General features: G+C 41.4%; 2 protein-coding genes and 1 long non-coding RNA gene across 5 annotated transcripts in view, besides 3 other annotated features; 2 read left to right on the top strand and 1 right to left on the bottom strand.

Annotated features, from left to right (window-relative positions):
- Nucleotides 1-84: 84 nt before the first annotated feature.
- SLITRK5 (SLIT and NTRK like family member 5) lies at nt 85-8,330 on the bottom strand. Of its 3 annotated transcripts, none has more exons than NM_001384609.1 (2): nt 7,492-8,330; nt 85-4,320 (listed from the first exon to the last, which is right to left on the bottom strand). In NM_001384609.1, exon 2 carries the CDS (start codon nt 4,310-4,312, stop codon nt 1,436-1,438), a length of 2,877 nt encoding a protein of 958 aa, NP_001371538.1. In that variant the 5' UTR covers nt 4,313-4,320; nt 7,492-8,330; the 3' UTR covers nt 85-1,435. The 3 variants fall into 3 exon arrangements, with proteins under 3 accessions (NP_001371538.1, NP_056382.1, NP_001371539.1); NM_015567.2 differs by lacking the exon at nt 7,492-8,330 and adding an exon at nt 6,876-7,112; NM_001384610.1 differs by lacking the exon at nt 7,492-8,330 and adding an exon at nt 6,127-6,477.
- Nucleotides 2,623-3,165: an enhancer, noted in NCBI's record as "H3K4me1 hESC enhancer chr13:88328791-88329333 (GRCh37/hg19 assembly coordinates)". NCBI's record gives its function as "activates a minimal SCP1, AML or CMV promoter by ChIP-STARR-seq in primed H9 embryonic stem cells {active_cell/tissue: H9 hESC(primed)}" and the evidence as "EXISTENCE:reporter gene assay evidence [ECO:0000049][PMID:30033119]".
- Nucleotides 4,478-5,677: an enhancer, noted in NCBI's record as "CDK7 strongly-dependent group 2 enhancer chr13:88326279-88327478 (GRCh37/hg19 assembly coordinates)". NCBI's record gives its function as "activates an origin of replication core promoter dependent on BRD2, BRD4, P300/CBP, MED14 and CDK7 cofactors, with strong dependence on CDK7, by STARR-seq in HCT116 cells {active_cell/tissue: HCT116}" and the evidence as "EXISTENCE:reporter gene assay evidence [ECO:0000049][PMID:35650434]".
- LOC124900338 (formin-like protein 5) overlaps nt 7,334-18,214 on the top strand; it is a 58,101-nt gene continuing 47,220 nt past the window's right edge. The window contains exon 1 of the mRNA XM_047430855.1: nt 7,334-8,865. Coding sequence (XP_047286811.1) covers nt 7,396-7,920 — 525 coding nt within the window. The 5' untranslated portion in view covers nt 7,334-7,395 and the 3' untranslated portion in view covers nt 7,921-8,865. The remainder of the gene's footprint in view (nt 8,866-18,214) is intronic.
- Nucleotides 8,102-8,603: an enhancer, noted in NCBI's record as "OCT4-NANOG hESC enhancer chr13:88323353-88323854 (GRCh37/hg19 assembly coordinates)". NCBI's record gives its function as "activates a minimal SCP1, AML or CMV promoter by ChIP-STARR-seq in primed H9 embryonic stem cells {active_cell/tissue: H9 hESC(primed)}" and the evidence as "EXISTENCE:reporter gene assay evidence [ECO:0000049][PMID:30033119]".
- Nucleotides 8,738-18,214, top strand: part of MIR4500HG (MIR4500 host gene) — a 226,977-nt gene continuing 217,500 nt past the window's right edge. The window contains exon 1 of the long non-coding RNA NR_033829.1: nt 8,738-8,865. This is a non-coding gene — a long non-coding RNA (MIR4500 host gene). The remainder of the gene's footprint in view (nt 8,866-18,214) is intronic.

Below are 18,214 nucleotides of genomic sequence, written 5' to 3'. Positions count from 1 at the left end.
TAAATTGTTAATGATGGAGATTCTATCAATCACACATAGTTAAGTCTTTTGCACCTTAAGTAATCATTACTTCCATCCCTCATATTTGACATAGTTATCAAGTGTTTATTCAGAAACTATTTAAAAAATTACATGTGCTGGGATACATATGAGACTGTAACAACAGTAGCCCCATCTTACAGATATCCTGTTTGTCATTATCATCATTGCTTGCTGCCCACAGGGATAAAGACATTGTATAGAGACTTGTACAGTCCATGATTTGGTCTTCTGAGGTGCCAGTACACGTGGATCTGTACAAATGCAACTGGGTTTGGTTAAACAATCGAAAATCGGCTACAATAGTAGTCAAATGAACATGTCATTTTGGTTCATTAATAAAAATACTTTCAAATATTTTCTAATAAAACCCAAAACTTGCAAACAATTCTCTCGGAATGGCCCAATCAATTGCCCTATTTTTTAAAATACATTGGGATACAATCAGCTCTGTTTTCTTAAAAGAAAATGCAGATTCAATTGGGTGGGTTGCATTGGCTTTTAAAGATTTAGCCATTAAATTCTCCACATTTTGAATGATTGAAAATGCCTTCCTGATACCACGTCAGTTTTAGAAATGCAGATCCTAATACAGTGTGACACCTCTGCAAAATCATAGGCTAAATAGTGAAGGAAAGAGGAATGCTAAATGTGCATATAAAAATAGGTGCTACAATAAAATATTTGTATATTTCATCAATAAGTTATTTTGACTAATCAATTATGGATCATATAGCTCTGTAATTTTAATGATTTGTCCACATCTATGGTGATCCTTTACAGGATCACAATACTTTTTTTTTAATTCAAATGTCCAGAATGCATACAAACACATCCTTTAAAAACAAAGAAAAGGAATGAGAAGGGAGGGGAGGGGAGGAGAGAAGGAGAGGGGCGGAAAAAGAGAACAAATTTCCTATTAAAGTTGGGGTGTGCTAATTTCTCCACAAAAGCCAGTTAGACCCACCCATGGCTTAAAAGGGGAGAAAGAGAGGTGGGGCAGGGGCGGGGGAGGGGGAGGAAGCAAAAGAGGAAGAGTAGAATCTATGCTCTGCCATCATCCACCATTCTTAGCACTTCCAACCACTACAAAAATGACTGTGACCTTTCACAGGTCACCCGCGCAGCAAATTGGCCTCCTTAAAGCCCTTCTCCACACCTGCCCCACACGCAAGAAGAGAAAGTGATGTGCCCAGTTTACACAAATGTTTCCCACGTGTAAATTTTAAAGGAAATTGCACACCCTTTTCGTATCTTCCACCGAAGCTGAGAAATCCCGTGCCAAGGCACTTCACCCTAAACGTTGAAACAACACAATTAATCAAATGTGTTCACTGTGTGTGTCTGCTTGCTTGTTTGTTTTAAATGCAAAAGCTCCAAGAGAGTTTCTTTGCTTTTAGAACTGGCTAAACGTGGTCTGTTTTTCCAGCACTTCGAGGTAGTCCGGCTCAACGTTTAGTTTTGCTTTTAACTCCAGATATTCGTTCCGGTTGGGTTCTACAAAGACAGCACTCGGGGGGCTGTAGAGCACCGGTTCCCGTAGCCTGCTGTCCCCTGCCCCCGGGTGCAAATACTGATGGGGGCGTCTCAGGTCATAGTTGGGGGAGAAAGTGTAAGCAGCGGGGCTGCACGGGAATTTGGGATATTCCGGGAGGCTATTGCCGGCGGGGGTGGTGGAGCAGTGTTTGTCTGGTTCTAAAATGCCCCTGTAAAAGCGGTCGGCGTCCTGCACCGGCGACAGCAGGTCCTCCCGGGGCTCGATGGTGCTGACGCTGTAGGCGGGGCTCCGCAAGTGGTGGCTTTCCCGCCTCTCCTCCTCCCCGGGCTGCAGCTGCAGCTGCGGCGGGGGCTGCTGCTGTGGCTGCTGCGGTGGCGGCGGCGGCTGCTGCTGCTGCTGCAGGTGGTGGTTGCTGCTGTAGGTGACCTTGAGCTCGTGCAGGTCTTTGTAATCCTCTACGGAGTTGCCCTCTCGGGAGCGGTAGATGGGGTTTTTGCACATGTGGCCCAGTGGGTGGGGGATGTATTCATACACGTGGCCCGCGGGCGTCTTCACCTTGGGCAGCGCGGGCCCGCGGTGATGCACGTGCGCGTGTGGGTGGCCGCCCGTGCCGCCGCCGCCGCCGTACACGCTGTACTGCATGTTAAAGGAGCTCACGTCGGAGTTGTTGGTGCTGGTGTGGTCGCTCTGGTTCTTCTTCCTGCGCTTCATGACCAGCACGAAGAGCCCGGCGGCCACGAAGACGGACATGATGAAAACCAGCAGGAGGCTGAGAATTAACACAGACAAGGGCACCGACGACGCCCCTCCGCCTGCGCCCAAGCTCGCGGGGGCCCCGGTGCTATTCAACCGGACCGCAGGAGTCACGGCGCTGGTCCTCGCAGGGACCTGGATAGAGGAGGGTGTGGGCGTGGAAACTACTACATCTGAATAGTCAGGGCACAGCAGCTCCGACTTAATGGAGCGCATGTCGGTCTCAGCGAATTTTTTGGGCGCCTTACAGATCACCTCGTCCACTAGGACGCCCACTTTGAGCTGCTCCACCCACAGCTTCATGCCCACAATGTCACAGGTACAATCCCAAGGATTGTCATGCAGGTCGATTTGGATGAGTGACTTCAGCTGGTCCAAAACTCCACTCACTGGCAAGGAGGTGAAGTGGTTACTCCTCAGGTTTAGCCTGAGGAGGGTCAAGCCAGAGAAGACGCCTGAGGGCATGGCCTGCAGGAGGTTGTTATTCAAGAATAGCAGCTGGAGGTTTGGGACCGGGTCAAAAGTTCCAGACTGAATCTCGCGGATGAGATTGTACTGGAGGAAGAGATACTGCAGGCTCTGCAGGCCATAGAATAACTCCGGGCTCAGCCTCTCGATCCTGTTGCCATTCAGGTAGAGGCGCCTCAGGTTGGTGAGATCCCCGAAAGCGCGGTCCTGGATCATCGAGATGCGGTTATTCCCCAGGTGCAGGAGGTCCAGCCCCGTGGCCTCCAGGAAGTCTGTCCTGCGCACGACAGCGATGTAGTTCTCTGTCAGATACATTTTCTTGGGATTGTAGGGCTTGGGCTGCAGTTCAGCGATGCTCTCGATCTTTCGCTCCTGGCAGTTTACGTTGAGGCCCAGATCAGAGATCTGCAGGTTGCAAGAGCACGCGGTGGGACACTCCAAAGGCACCGGGGATTTGGTCTGATAGGCGATGCTGGGGCCATAGTTGCTGTAGCCCAAGTCCTTAGAGGGCTGCCGAGAGGTGGGGCGCACCCTGGGCTTGTTGGGTTGGCGAGTCCCCTTAGGGGGCTTCAAAGGGGGTTTGTAAACAGCAGAGGAAGAAGTGGCCACAGAATTCACTGACGCCGGGGTGGTGTGTAAATACCCCGTGGTGCTCAAAGGCGTCTGCGGCCTCATCTCGTAGTCAGAAATAAGTCTCCTTGGGCAAAGTTCCTGCTTGGATACCTCGTCCAAGTCCCTTCCGTGTAAGCGGAAGGGGGTCTCACAAACTACATCCCCCACCAGGGCTGAATAGGAGATGCTGTCCAACCAATCCTTTAGAGAGATCAGCTCACAAGAACAATTCCAAGGGTTTTCCTCCAGCTGTAGCTCCACAACTTTATCCATGTGCTGCAAGAGCCCCACGTAGGGCAGAAGTTTCAGCCGGTTCCCCCGGAGGTCCAAGTGCGTTAAGGGCACAAAACGGAAAAGATTGTTGGGTAAACTGGACAAAAGATTGTCATTGAGGATAAGCACCTGCAACAAATGCAGTTTCCCAAAAGCATTGGGTTCAATGACGCTGATGTAGTTGTAATCGACCTGTAGGTACTCCAGGTTCTCCAAGCCAAGGAAGGTATCATCTCGCAGAAGTTCCAGTTTATTATTGTTTAGATGCAATCTCCTCAAACCCCGTAGCCCATGGAAAGCCCCGGTCTCAATGTCCTGGATAACATTGCTACCTAGATGCAAAATTGAAGCCCCAGTGTAATTGACAAACTCATTGGGATAGAGACGGTTCAAAAGGTTTCCGGACAACAAGAGGTGGTAGATTGGGAAACGGGGAGGGCTAATTTCAGAGAGACTGATGATCCCCCGGTTTTCACAGCTCACAGTTAAAATGCCGTCCTTTTCCTCACAAGGACATGCATTGTCACAGATTTCCCCATAATAATCGATGGTTTCTGCACACGAAAGGACGAGAGATGTTACAGCAAACGCTAGAGTCTGCAGCATCCAGCTATGCATTTTTCTGTGAAGGTCCTGTTCCAAAGTTACTGGGGGGCAGCAAGTGTGCATTTTACCTCCTGTAAGGGAGAGAGAAAACAAGGAAATAACAGAATATGACAAAAATTTAAGGGATCAGTCAGAAAGTCTCTCTCTTTCTTAACATTATTACTCTAAAACCCAAAAGGAAGAGATACAAATGACACACCTCCCCAAGTGAAACATTGACATTCTCTAGATTTTATTAAAATCTATTATACATTTTGATTTAAAGGTTGATTAATTTTTTTAAATGAGCACACCACAAATATGCTGCTCCTTACAAGATAAGAGCAGGTTAGATAAAGTCCCATTTTAGTTTTCTCTTCTCCCCCCCTTTTCAAAACCAATCCATAAATATACATAAAATGGCTGTCAGTTCAGTTTCATGGTTCTAATTTAAGAAAAAAGAAGCACCATTTTACAAGGTTCCCCACCTCACCTATACCCAGCCCCCACCCCCCCTTCTTTCTTTCAGAGCCTCTTCAGTTAACAGTTCACCGTGAAGGTCTCTCATGTTCACAGAGAGGCAAGGAGCCAAAATACTTGGGGTATTTTAAACCATCGCTAGAAATGCCACGGTGGGAACCTAAAGGATACTTTTCAGAGGCAAAAAGGCTGTAATATAATGCATCAAAGGAGCCCCAAGAAGCTCTTAAATCACCAATTGTCTCCCGGAGCTTTGAGTAAGGAGAAAAAAGGAGAGCGCATTTGCTTTGATGGTGGACTTCACTACCACGCTATTAAAGCACATCAGCGTCCTAATTGCATGCACGGTACCACTTAGCAGCGCTTCCCGGAGAGCGCCCTGCGACCACTTCTCATTGATCATGTCAGCGACGCTACCAAACCGCATCTTTAAGCCACTGAAATAGTTCTGCACGATGGATTACAAAGAACTCAGCGAAGGTATCCGCAATCTCCGAATACCTCCCGATGCCTAGAGTTTAAAAAGGACGTTCCTACCGCTTACCGGGAATCAGTACACCAAGGATCAGCACGAAAGCCTCCCTTACCTTGGGCTCCGCGTCTATTTGCAACGGTAATAGCAAGGTTTGCACGGAACTACCACCTCGACAGCATCCCCATCTTTGGAGTTGCTTATTACATTTAATTGTTAACGCTCCCCTCTCTCTTTTTTTTAATCTCAGGGAAAGGACGCCTGGGCTGATTAAGAGGCAAAATAGAAAGGTGGGAGGAAGAACTGTAAGCGACTTAGGTCAGTTGTTTAATATCCGAATTTCATCTCCCACAGGAATCAATATGACCCCCTCCCCCTTTTTTTTCTTGCTCTCTTTTTGTCCCCTTGAAGGCTTCCTTCCACTTCCTACTTCTGATCAACAGCAGCACTCTTAAAGGAAGGACATAAATGGAATGAGCGTGTGTGTGTGTGTGTGTGTGTGTGTGTGTGTGTTTGTGTGTGCGCGCGCGCGCATGCTGCGTTGGTTAATGGGGTGGAGGACATTTGATAGAAATGCTGGACTCTAGGAACCTATGCCTTTTCTCTGGTCAACCTTGCCTTTGCCTCACTACCGAAGTCTAATATCGAATTGCAACTCCAAACTAAAGCCAAGATGTTTCCGAGACAGCGGGTTCAAGCCTGGAGACCTTGCTCCTGATCCCCAAGTCGACTCCAGCCCGCGTTATTAAACGCCCCTGCATTCAAACGCACATGTATCAGTGTGCCTGCGAATCATTCACGTGTGGCCACCCAGACGTGTCGAGATGAATTGGAACCACAGTGCATAAACCTCGCAAGTATCCCCGACCTCCCAACGCAACGGTAAACGTCTCCCGGCTTAAAAGCGGCAAAAACATCCCCACCCCAGTGAAAGCAAAACGTTTACCTTGAAATTTCAGTTCTCCGCTGGATCAAATCCGCACATCCATTCAGCGAGGTTGGGTCCCCTCCCCCTCCCTCCCTGTGCTTCCCCGCCCCCATTCACCTCCCACCCCATCTGAAAGCCCATTGCAAATTCAGTCCAGCCAGTATTAAACTCCAGCGTTTACAACTTTAATTCAGTTCTAGTTAGCAAGGGTCGAAGAGCTTCCTCTCAACCCACTCCCTTCCCCCTCCTCCTTGCTAGCAAAGGAGACCAAAAATTTGAGAAAATAAAGTTGAATGAGCCTGGGGAGGCTGACATTCTGACGGGGAAACGCACCTCCGATGCAAATTCGCGGGTGCGCTGAACATTCTCAGATTCTCAGATTTTTTTTTTTCCTGGAGGGCGGGGGCGGGGGAACTATTCATTTTCTCCCAAAGAATTTAGATACTGGATCACCGCCCTGTACGTCCCTGCAGTAAGCAGCATGGAGCCTCTCGGACTGGAGCCCAGCACCCAGGCCGCACCGGAGGCTCCGGGCACAGCTGCTCAAGCAGCAGCCCAGGCAGAAGCACCCGGAGTTCCAGGACGCGAGGCTCCCCCTCCCCCACCCCGCCCCAAAGAGAAGGAAGGGAAAACGGAGGAAGAAGGGGAGGGAGGAGAGGGAAGGAAAACCACCCCGCCACATAGACACACACACACACACACACACACACACACACACACACACACACACACACACACCTCTTTTGCAAAGTAAACGATAGACTTACCCAGTCTCACATCTCCAAGGCCCAGTCATCATAGCCACCCTTTAAAAACACACACATACACAAAAACCCTCTTTGGGGTATGCACTAGGTTTCTCAAGCCCAGGCAGGGCGAGGAGACTGCGAGCAGCGCAGTCCCAGAGGCTGGAGGAAAGAGGCGCCCGGACGCCTCCAGCCTGGGGCCGCCGCCGCGGTGGCGACCGCGGGTTCCGGGGCTCCCCAAAAGGCTCTCCCCGGTGCTCTCCGCGGTAGTCGGAGCGGGCAGCAGGGTTGGGGGGTGGAGAGCGGGGGGCGTTCTGCAGCGGCGGGATAGGGAGGCGGCGGGAGGGGGCGGCGGAGGTCCGGCTGGAGAGGCGCCTCGCGGTAGGGGCCGGGAGCCGGAGCCGGGCGGGGCGGGGAGGGGGAGCTGCTGGGAGGGGAGGCACGGAGCGGGAGGAGGGGGACGCGGAGAAGACTGCCTGGCCCCGCCGGCCCCGCCAACGTGACGGTCAGCCCCGCCGAGCGCTCGCACCCGCTCACACTCATGATCACTCGCACACTCGCTCCAATACGTGTTAAGGCGCGATCGCGGGGTCCCTGGCAGCCTTCGCTGCACCCTCCCCCCCACAGGGGTACTCACAGTTGCCATCTGCATAGGGGGCAACTTTCTCCGACCCAGCTGTGGCCGCCGCCCCCTCCAGCCTCCTCTGGCTCCTCGCACCCTCCGGCCTGGGTTCGCGCCGGCCGGCCCTCCCCTCCCCCCTCGGCTCTCCTCCTCGCCGTCTTCACCACATTCCCCCCTGGTCAGTGGCGCACGCCGGGGGACGAGCCAGAGGGAGCGGGTCGCGGGGGTGTGCATGCATCTCCCGCCTTCTTCTTGCAGCGCACACTGTACATGGTAGTGAGGGGGCGAGCAAAGGTGGCACCGGCCCCTCGGCTGCTCCAGCGAAGGCGGCGGCTGCAGCTCCTGCGCTGTCCTCCGCCCCCCAGCGCAGCGGCGACCACCGCGCTGGGATCCCGCCGACGCTGTCTCCGCGCCGAGCCCGCCGCCGCCGCGGCCCCTAATTAGTATTTGAGAGGCTCTTGCATCCCTTTGGCAGTTTCATCCTCACGGTGTTTGCAGGGTTTTTTTCTGTATCCCTTCCCCAGATGCGGCGCACAATCGTCATTAGTTGGAACTCTCTATCACCGACATCCTTTGGGGTTTCTGGGGGAAGGGGGGGGCGGGCAGCAACCGCGTCGTTCTATGCCTGTGGCTTGTCCTGGCAGCCCGGTGGCTCTAAAAAAAACTCCGAGAAAGTTGCGTCTTCCTCCCGGGCGCCGAGGAGGTGGCAACGCGGTAAGCAACACCGGGTCTCTGAGACAGCTGCTCCGGAGCGGGTGCAGGGCCCAGTCCAGTGCACTTGTTTATTGTCGCGCCTCTGGTGCGAGCCAAGCTGCAGCAGACATGATGGGCCCGGGGCGAAGCGGGCGCTCGGTGGCCGATAGATGGCAGCCGAGGGCGAAGGCGTCCCTGGGCTAGGGCGGCGCAACCGGGGCCCCCTTGGATGTCACATTCGTAGGAAGAGAGAGAAGTCTTGGACCATGTGTGTAATTCGAGCGTGGGACTGTGCAATTCTCGGATTGGGAAAGGGAGGAGTGGAAATAACCCCGGCAGTGCCAGGCTTGCTGGTGGTCAGGAACAGATGATTCCAGCCCTGTGCTGATCGCCTGCCTTCCTCCTGCCATTCAGAATGCTGCTGTCTCGTGTACTTACTGTTAAGGATCCTGGAAAAGGGAGTGGTTCCTCCTAGCTGCAAACAAGGGCGCTACTTTTCTTTTCTCTTTAATAGAATTACGTTTTATAGGTGTGTCTAGGCAACACAAGGGAATGTGAAAGACTTTCAGAGGGAATGTTTGTGAATACATCTGGTGTGTACTAAAAAGCTGGAAAACCCCTAAGTAAATGCAATATCGATAGAAAGCGAGTTTCTTGAAGAGTCATCTGCTAAACTCCACTAGAGTCATCTCTACAGTAAGTATTCTTGGGTCTTTCCATGAAACCAGACACTTCCATCCCCAAAAAGGGGTCTTTACTTTCATAAGACATGTTTTCAATATTTGTAATATTAGACCTGCCGTTCATCCCGGGTATAAGAGAAAAGTTGATAATAGTAAGTGACCCAGTGCAGGCTGAGTGCACATGTGCCTGTTCCTTTGATAACTATGTAGTTAGTTTCTCCATGTAAATATATTTTACCCACTTTATTTTGCAATTAATTACGTCTTAATTATTATTGATATTGTTTTATTCTTAGTAATATTTGGGATAATACTGTGTTATAATCTGGTTAATCATATGTTTAATATTGATATAGAGTCTGATAATATGTCTATGTTCTGAGATGTATATATATCTCAGGTGATGAACATTGCAGTCTCCTGAGGTACTGCAATCTTTTTTGAACTTTCCCCTGCGTATGTTGTGTGAATATATATATTTTTACTTTATACCATAAAAACTTTATTTGGAAGCAATTTTGTTTAAGTATGGGTTATATTCAAGGGAGAGGAAGGAAAGAAGTAATATGTAATTTCAGACAATAAAAACAAAATCTTGTAATGAACGTTTCATTAAATTTAGAAGCATTTGACCTAGGAATGATAGCCACTAGCTGTAGATACATTGCATCAACAAATATAACTTACACGTCATCCACAAAAGGCTTATTTCTGTATTTTTTATTCAGTCATTAACTTTTAACATTATATAAACATTTCAGAAAATTTATTTTAAGTTTAAAATTACTTTTATATTTTCAAAATGAAATGAAATATTTAAATTTAAAATTATATAGGAATTACAGCCAGAAGCCTTTGGAATATAAATATTGAGTCCTATCAGAAACATAATTTTCAATATCGATTAACTTTGTAGAAGTTCTTAAAGGTCCTAAATTGTCTTAATCGATTATTGATTTTTTCAAAATAGCTGAAATAAAGCTGTTATATTTTATCACTGTTCTAAATCTTTATAATTTCATTCAATAGCAAAGTTTAATTCATGGTTTTGTATTATTTTTATTTTAAATATTTATTGTTCTAATTAAAGGAAATATTATTCAACTAAGAAGTATTAAATATGTTTGGAATTAGTTTAGGTTACAGTTTTGTTAGAAACACTTATGCTAATAATCTAGTTTACCTCTTGTGGTTCAAATAAGTAAATGATGAAAACTTTCTGCCATTAACTCAACATTAAGGATGGTCCCGGAAGCCACCATTACCTTTTGCCACTAGGTGTCTCTATAAGATGCTCTGCAAGAGAATGAAATTTTAGAAAATACTGTGACTTGAACAGTTCAGAACAGAAAAACACAAGAGGGAAAACATCATAGATATAAGGAAAAGCCTCAGTTATTAATCTGTTTCTTTATTTGCATTGAATGTTGACTATTGCTTAGAAAATATATAAGTGAATTACATAAGAGTGATCAAATATGAGCCAAAACTTTTACCCACATGAACAAATGTATCTATGTTTTAGTCTATACTAAGCAACACATGGTCATATGTGTATACATGCTTTCAGACAGCACTCAGATGCATGCACTTAATTACATAGATACATTTGGCCATTGTAAAATTAAATGATTGATCAAATATATCTCCCCAGAATTAAGTCTATTAATATTAAACATTATTTGATGGAGTTGGATGTGAAAGTCACATTTGTCCAAATGTTTGCAAATATTTTTTTTTCATATTAGAATTATCTATTGAGAGGGTATCATCATAAGTGTATATCATGTAGGGAAATATATTTGACATTTATATTGTAAATATAATTGTCATTATCAATTATGGCCATAATTTGATACCTGCAAATTTAAATTTAAATTGAAAACATAAGTAGCATACTTGCCACTTAAAATTGACCATATATTTTTGTAAATTTATATTTATTAGTTTCTAGAATTATTATTTTAGTGCTTTATGAACACAGGAGGGATTCTTATATTAAGTACATTTTTTAAGATAATTCTTATCACATTTGCGTATCACTGTGTGTTATCATTAGAATTTTAAAATGCTTAGTCAAGAATTATGGTGCTTTAAGAAACAACCTAATGAGGATTATAAACAAGGAAATTCTTTATTAATCATTTCATGACTTCATAAGTATTGATCAACATCTAAAGCCAGTAGAGCTTGCAATTTGTTGTTGTTGTTGTTGTTGTTAGCCTAACTGGTGAGTTAAGATTATGGAATTCTAATGCTAAGTTTCTATTCCTCCATAGTAATGGCTAAGAAGTCTGTTCAACTCAATTTAATAAATGACACATTTTTCAAGTCTAAGTTAAAGGGCATATGTCTTTAAAGTTTTTGAAATTGAAATTATATATATATCACATTCATATATATAATTATATATAATATATGTTATATGTATATCACATATCTAAAAGGAGAAAATGAAAGTTTCTCCTGGAGGAAAATAATGAGTCACCATTTATGATTGTGTCTCTATGAAATTGCTAAATTAAATAACTGTACAGCATTTGTCTTTGACATTTTGTCTAATACATTTAAAATTAAAAACAAACATCATGCAGTTATATTTATCAAATTAAAAATGGCCAGCAAATCTAATTTTGCTGAAATTATTTATTCACTTACAGACTTAATTATTCACAGCCTTAGAAATAGACTCTCAGAGGCATTACAAAAGAATATACAAAAAATAGCCAATTTTCTTCCTTGCCTCATGCAGTTCCTTGCACATACACTCGGATATTTTTTGATATAATTACATATGAAAATATCCTTTTTGGATAACCAATTGGAAATATCTACAAAAATATATCTTTGGAACACTACTTTTTCAGAAAGTAGCCTTCAGGTGTGCCAAAGTAAGATATATAAAACACTATGTCAGAAGATATGTAACAGATGCTTGCATTTGAAAATGAGTAAGAACAAGTTAAATGTCTGACTCACTGAAAAGTCATACACATCCTTCTATACCTTAGAATACTCTTCTACTTTAAACAACAGTTTGTATAGGAATACTGTTTTGCCATTATTAGGAGTATATATAGCATTACCTATAATTTGTGAGAGGCAGACTTTTTTTCTGGAAAGAAATTAATACACACAAATCTAATAATAGTGGTTACCTTTTGGAAGAAGACTGGCGTCTTAAATAGAATGGGAATTTATTTTTCATCGTATGCTCTTTTTTTTTTTTTTTTTTTTACTATTTTTGTTTCTTACTGTTTTAGTTTCTACTACAGTTTGTTCAATTTTGCATACACATCCCCAATAAAAATTTATAAAAATGTGCACTTGAAAAATAAGAATATTTGGAGGGGTGATTTAAGAGCTTAGGAAGAGTTCAAGATGATTTCCTTAAATTAATCTCTATCCCATAGTTCTCAAATGGTTTTATTTTTCATGGCACATTATTATCACTGGAGACACTGAATACATTTCTAACTATGAGTGTCAATTAATTAGTTACAATAATTTCTCAGCATTACTCATATATGACATTCAATTCTAGCTACCAGTATCAGCTAATAGAATGGTAATTAATAGAAGCTAGCTTTGTTATCTTCACACTATTCAGAACCATGCTGTGTACTGGGAACATCAGTTTTATTTGATACTCTGGTGAGTGAAGAGGAAGATCAAAATGGCTCTGTAGAGAAGATAAGTAATTGCACTTGAAGTTGTCAGCAGCTGTTCTTTACTGTTTACTGAAGAAAAGTGAGTGTGTAGTTGTGACATTTTAAATATACAAACTATCGTCAGACCCTGTTAGAACAAAGGCTACTGCCATCTGGCTTATACTAGCATTGAAATGCACACATTCCACTGGAAATGAAGCAGTTTCACAATGTAATCAGATTAGCTTTTCTATGTAACTCTCTATTAGTGTATGATTTGTCTCTTGGGACCCATTGGTCCTTGGTTCTCACACATCTCTAGTCATTTTTAGAAAATAAGTCTAAACAGGCATTATGTTATGCCTGTGTTTTCTGGGTTATTTCTGTTGTTTTTTTTTTCAGAGAAAAACAATTAATTATCCTAAAACAGTTAAATTACAACAATTTCAGAAGAACCATTGCTAATGAAAAATATCTAAATTGATTATACTACATTCAACTTTGCCAACTGGAATCCTTCATTCATCAGAATACTCATAATCTCTTTATCCCCTCAAAATGAATCAGCCTTTTTCCCAACTCCCAACGCTTTGGTTTCCACTGCCCTTTTATCTATCAGACTTTTCATTTTTCTTTTACCTACTGTTCTAGAGAATTCTCTGTAAGTCCTTTCTCCATCTGAAAAAATCTTACTTATTCTTTCTAACAATGAAGACTGCTCATCTAAACATTCCCTTGCATTATCAAGCACTTGACCTGCACAATGCTCTATTTCTTGCTTAATGTGTTTTTTCTTCCAGACTATATTATCATTCCTTATTTTGAAAACTGTATATGGTATCCTTTCAATAGCAAGAAAAATGAGCTCCAGAAATCTCTTTGTATACACAAAATACTTGTTCATTTATGAATTTATTAATTGAACAAATATTTATTTAGCACCTAAAATGTGCTAGATCCTGTCTCTTGTATTTGAGATGAAAATAGTTGATTCATATCAGAATGCTTACAGAGATGTTTGACTTTTTGTAGATTATCTATTTTCTCTATTAAAAGTCTCTATCAAAATTAATGAACTACAATTTATGCAATAAAATTATATTGTATAAATTGTATTCTTGAATAATATTTATAGTGGCATATGTGCACCAAGCATCTACAAGAGGCTGTTCAATAGAATTTTCTGTGATAATGGAAATTAACTGTATCTGTGCGATCCAATATGATAGCCATTGGCCACATAAGGCTACTGAGAAATTGAAATATGAATGATACCTTTCTGTAGGAGGTAGCTTAAAAAAATGAAATGTGGATGATATGGCAAAGGAACTAAAATTTTATTTGTTATTTAAATTTGATTGATTTAAATTTAAATAGCCACCTGTGGCTAGTGGCTACCATTGGACAGTGCAGGTCTAGAATATAAATTCCCAGAGGATTGAAACTGTGTTTCTTGTTCAATTTCTGGGATACCTTGGAAATTCAATCAATATGAACAGCTGCACTCATAAGTAATGATGGTGATTATGACACCCTCAATAAATAAGGACAATTATGATTCACATTTGGCAAGAGGCCTGATTTGCATTCTGTTTAGGGTCTCTATTCAATTCTTTCGAATTGCATTCAATTGAAGGCCTCTACTATTCTTTTAAAGATTTCAAGGAACTTTACAAGCACTTCAAAATTCTTCATTACACCCTTATTATACCTCTATAAAGAAAGAAAGGTAGATTATTTTAAATCAATAGAATTTTATTAGAAGATAAGTGCCTTTTTATGCATGGCAAAGTACTCTCTAAAGTACTTTTCTCTAGATCACACAGTGGGATGTTAGTAGAACTGGGAAAGAAAATACTAAATCAGTATTTTGCTTCAGGAATTATCTAGGATAAGTTTTGTGTGCAAAAAAAGACTTTAAAAAAACTGCACTTGAATGTTTGTGTTCCATCTATTTTAATACGAAAACATGATTTTAAAGTTTAGTGGCTTTTTGTACAATTGGAGTGGGCAGAGTTTGAACAGCAAATTATAATTAACTAATTTATAGAATGCTAATATGGTCCCTAATTTCCATGAAAAGCTCAATAAACCTCAGTTTTAATAAAATGACATTTATAAATCTGATACAAAGACATAATGTCTTGATAATAAGTCCCATTCAGAAGTTATAATTTTTTAAGGTTAGAGTTTGTTTTTCATCAATCTATCTAAAATATTAGTTACATTAGTGACCTTTATTTCCAACAATATGCTTCTTCCATAGACAAAACCAATATAACTTCAAAGGAATTACACATTGCTGAAAGGCTTAAGTCCAAAATAATTAGGAAACCACCAGATCTCGCCATCAGTAAAGTGTTTCTCGAAGACGTTGAATTCATTCTTGGTTCTGGCTTCATATCATTTGCACCTCTGCATTAATGAAAACATTTCCTCTGGGTAGATGACAAAGTTAATGTGCTATGTCTTCAATTGACTATATAACTATCACACTGGTTAATCAAATAATAAATATTAAAATGGAAACTCCTTGGAAAATATAATATAATTATTAATCTGGTCCAGGCATGGTGGCTCACTCCTCTAAACCCAGCACTTTGGGAGGCCAAGGTGGAAGGATTTCTTGAGGCCAGGAGTTCAAGACCAGTTTGGGCAACATAGCAAGACCCCATCTGTAGAAAAATAAAAATAAAAGTAGTTGAGTGTGGTGGTGTGCACCTGTAGTTTTAGCTTTTCAGGAGGCTGAAGTAGGAGGATGCCTTGAGTCCAAGAGTTTTAGGTTGCACTGAGGTATGATCTGGCATGGGAGAGAGAATGAGAGAATGAGATCCTGTCTTTCAAAAAGAGTTTTTTAAAAAATAATTATTATTAATCTTAACTTACAGATTTTAAGTAATTCTTTTTTTTTTTTTTTTTTCCGAGATGGAGTCTTGCTCTGTTGCTCAGGCTGCAGTGCAGTGTCCTGATCTTGGCTCACTGTAACGTAACGTTCTTCTCCCGGGTTCGAGCAATTCTCCTGCCTCAGCCTCCTGAATGGCTGAGACAGCAAGCACGTGCCACCATGCCTGGCTAATTTTTTTTTATTTTATTTTTAGTAGAGATGGGGTTTCACTGTGTTAGCCAGGATGGTCTCGATCTCCTGACCTTGTAATCCACCTGCCTCGGCCTCCCAAAATGTTGGGATTACAGACATGAGCCACCGTGCCCAGCCCATTTTATTCTACTAGTTATCTTTATTTAAACAAATATTGGTAATTGGTTGGTAAATTCATGAAAAGTTACCTCTGAAAAACACACCTGTGCCAGCTCAGTTTTTGTTTAATATTAGATGATGCATTTTTATTCTGTGATTATAAATATTCCATCAATCTAATGAAGATTTTTATAGTGACACTAAATTTATAGTTATTCTCATATAGCATGCTATGATGTATGCTGCAATTTTAATTGATTATTATAATTCGTAATGAACAAATAACCAATTTTGATTTTAATCACCAGTATGAGATGCATGATTCATTCTAAAATCAATCTAGGTCTTCAACTGCTTTATTATATGAGTAGTGACTGCTATACAAACAGACTTTAACCAATTACACTACCACTTATTCATGATATCTAAGAATTTTCATATTTAAAAATACTTCACTATAGCATAGATATGGTAGCATTTAGTAGTAATGTATTACATAGAGAAAGGCAGGCTTAAATTCATTTGTCCCTCATAATAGGAATGCATTTGACTGGATTTTTTGATATGTAATGTGATGATTTTTTATCATTTCTGAGATGAAGACTTGCTCTGTCCCCCAGGCTGGAGTGCAGTGGTGTGATCTTGGCTCACTGCAACCTCCTCCTCCTGGGTTCAAGCAATTCTCCTGTCTCAGCCTCTCGAGTAGCTGGGATTACAGGCATGTGACACCACGCCCGGGTAATTTTTGTATTTTTAGTATATACGGGGTTTCACCATGTTGGCCATGCTAGTCTCGAACTCCTGACCTCGTGATCCTCCCGCCTGGGCCTCCCAAAGTGCTGGGATTATAGGCGTGAGCAACCGCGCCCAACATAATGTGACTTTCTTCAGCTATGGTTAACACAAGCATTCACAGGCAATGCACATTTTGTTTATAATTCAAAGTCAAAGGTAAATAAAATGTACACATACATACACACACAGAATCATTTACTATTACCAGACATTTTATGTAGATTGTCTCATATTTTCATTTAATTATTATAATGACTTCATGAGGTGTTATTATTACTTACAGATGAAATGCTGAGTTTCAAGGTAGTTGGTGATATTCCATATTTCATACAAACAGTAGATAGCAGACTATGCTATGAATTACACAAACTCTCAGGGTCTATTTGCCTTACCTATGTTAGTTCAAATTAATACCTTTGAACTTTGTTCTCAGTTTAAACAAAAAAAAGATACATTGATTTTCAGTAATTAGTCTCCATAGGGATACTTTCTAAGTGATTCAACACTTCTATCATGTCAGATATATTTTGAGAAATGAAACAGTGAAAATATATTTCAAAATATTAATATATACTATTGCTCTTTTAATTATTACAATAATAAATTAGATCTTAAACTGATCATGAAATATATTTATAAATAGGCTGTGGAATATCAAGGATATTATTAACTACCAGAAATTATTGTTAGAGTAATTCAAATATATAGGGTTAATAAAACAACACTTGCTTGTATACATAGAGTATGCTTTTTCCTTAAGTGGAAAATGTCTCTACTATGACATATGTTTCTTGTCTTTCAGTTTTTGACTATTAACAATTTTATATTTAATAACCCAAATGCTAAAACAAGCATTATACATCTCCTAAAATATCAATAGAAAAATGCAAATATGTATGGTTTATTTGAAGGGGAATTCCTTTCATGATTAAGTTTAGGGACATAACCTCATAGTCCTTTCTAACATAAATATGTTATGTAAATAATTTTAAATTGAAACTTTTGTGACATATTTTCTTTTTTTTTCAAAGGCATACATGTGTTAAGATAATCCCATAATTAAGTTTCTCAATAATCAAAAAAAAACTTATGGTATATTAATCACAAATGACTAATAAACCCTATAAATAGCTAAATTTTACTCTTTATTTTTAAACATCTGACAATCTTCTTGAGCATTGATGTCATGTAGTCCAATTTTGTTATGAATATTAGGCATGAATCTCTATAAAACTCAAAAAATTGAGTGTTGGTGCATATCAGTATTTTCTCAATAAAAGTATAATCATATATGAAAAGATTTGACATAATCATGAATCTCCAAATACTGAAAGTTTGTAAATATTAGGTTCATCACTGACTATCACCTCATCTATTTATATCCATGTTGAAATAAATACATGTGTAGTAAAAGAAAATACAAGTATCTCTCCACGTTAGCAATTCATGACGTTTCTGACCACCTTCTCCTAATATGCACTCAGAGAGCTGCAGGGGCACTGGAGAATGCATCTTGGAGCTCTTCCAGAAACTCTGAGTCAAAGAGCAATGTCTGCATTCACAAAGAAGCATTCACAGCTGTCAGAAGTTAAATGTCCATGAGACTCCTAGTACAGCTGCAGTCCTTCCAGTACACTGACAATGACCGTGGAAACTAGAATTTGATAACTATTTTTTTACATGGGAAAAATATCACACAAGAGTGATTAATCTAGGCCTGA

Source organism: Homo sapiens, chromosome 13, assembly GCF_000001405.40.
Source record: "Homo sapiens chromosome 13, GRCh38.p14 Primary Assembly".
Lineage (NCBI taxonomy): Eukaryota > Metazoa > Chordata > Mammalia > Primates > Hominidae > Homo > Homo sapiens.
This window is presented reverse-complemented; position numbering and strand designations above follow the sequence as displayed.

Excerpts from the sequence above, each read along its gene's own strand:
- SLITRK5 (NM_001384609.1), bottom strand. The coding sequence starts at position 4,312 with ATGCACACTTGCTGCCCCCCAGTAACTTTGGAACAGGACCTTCACAGA.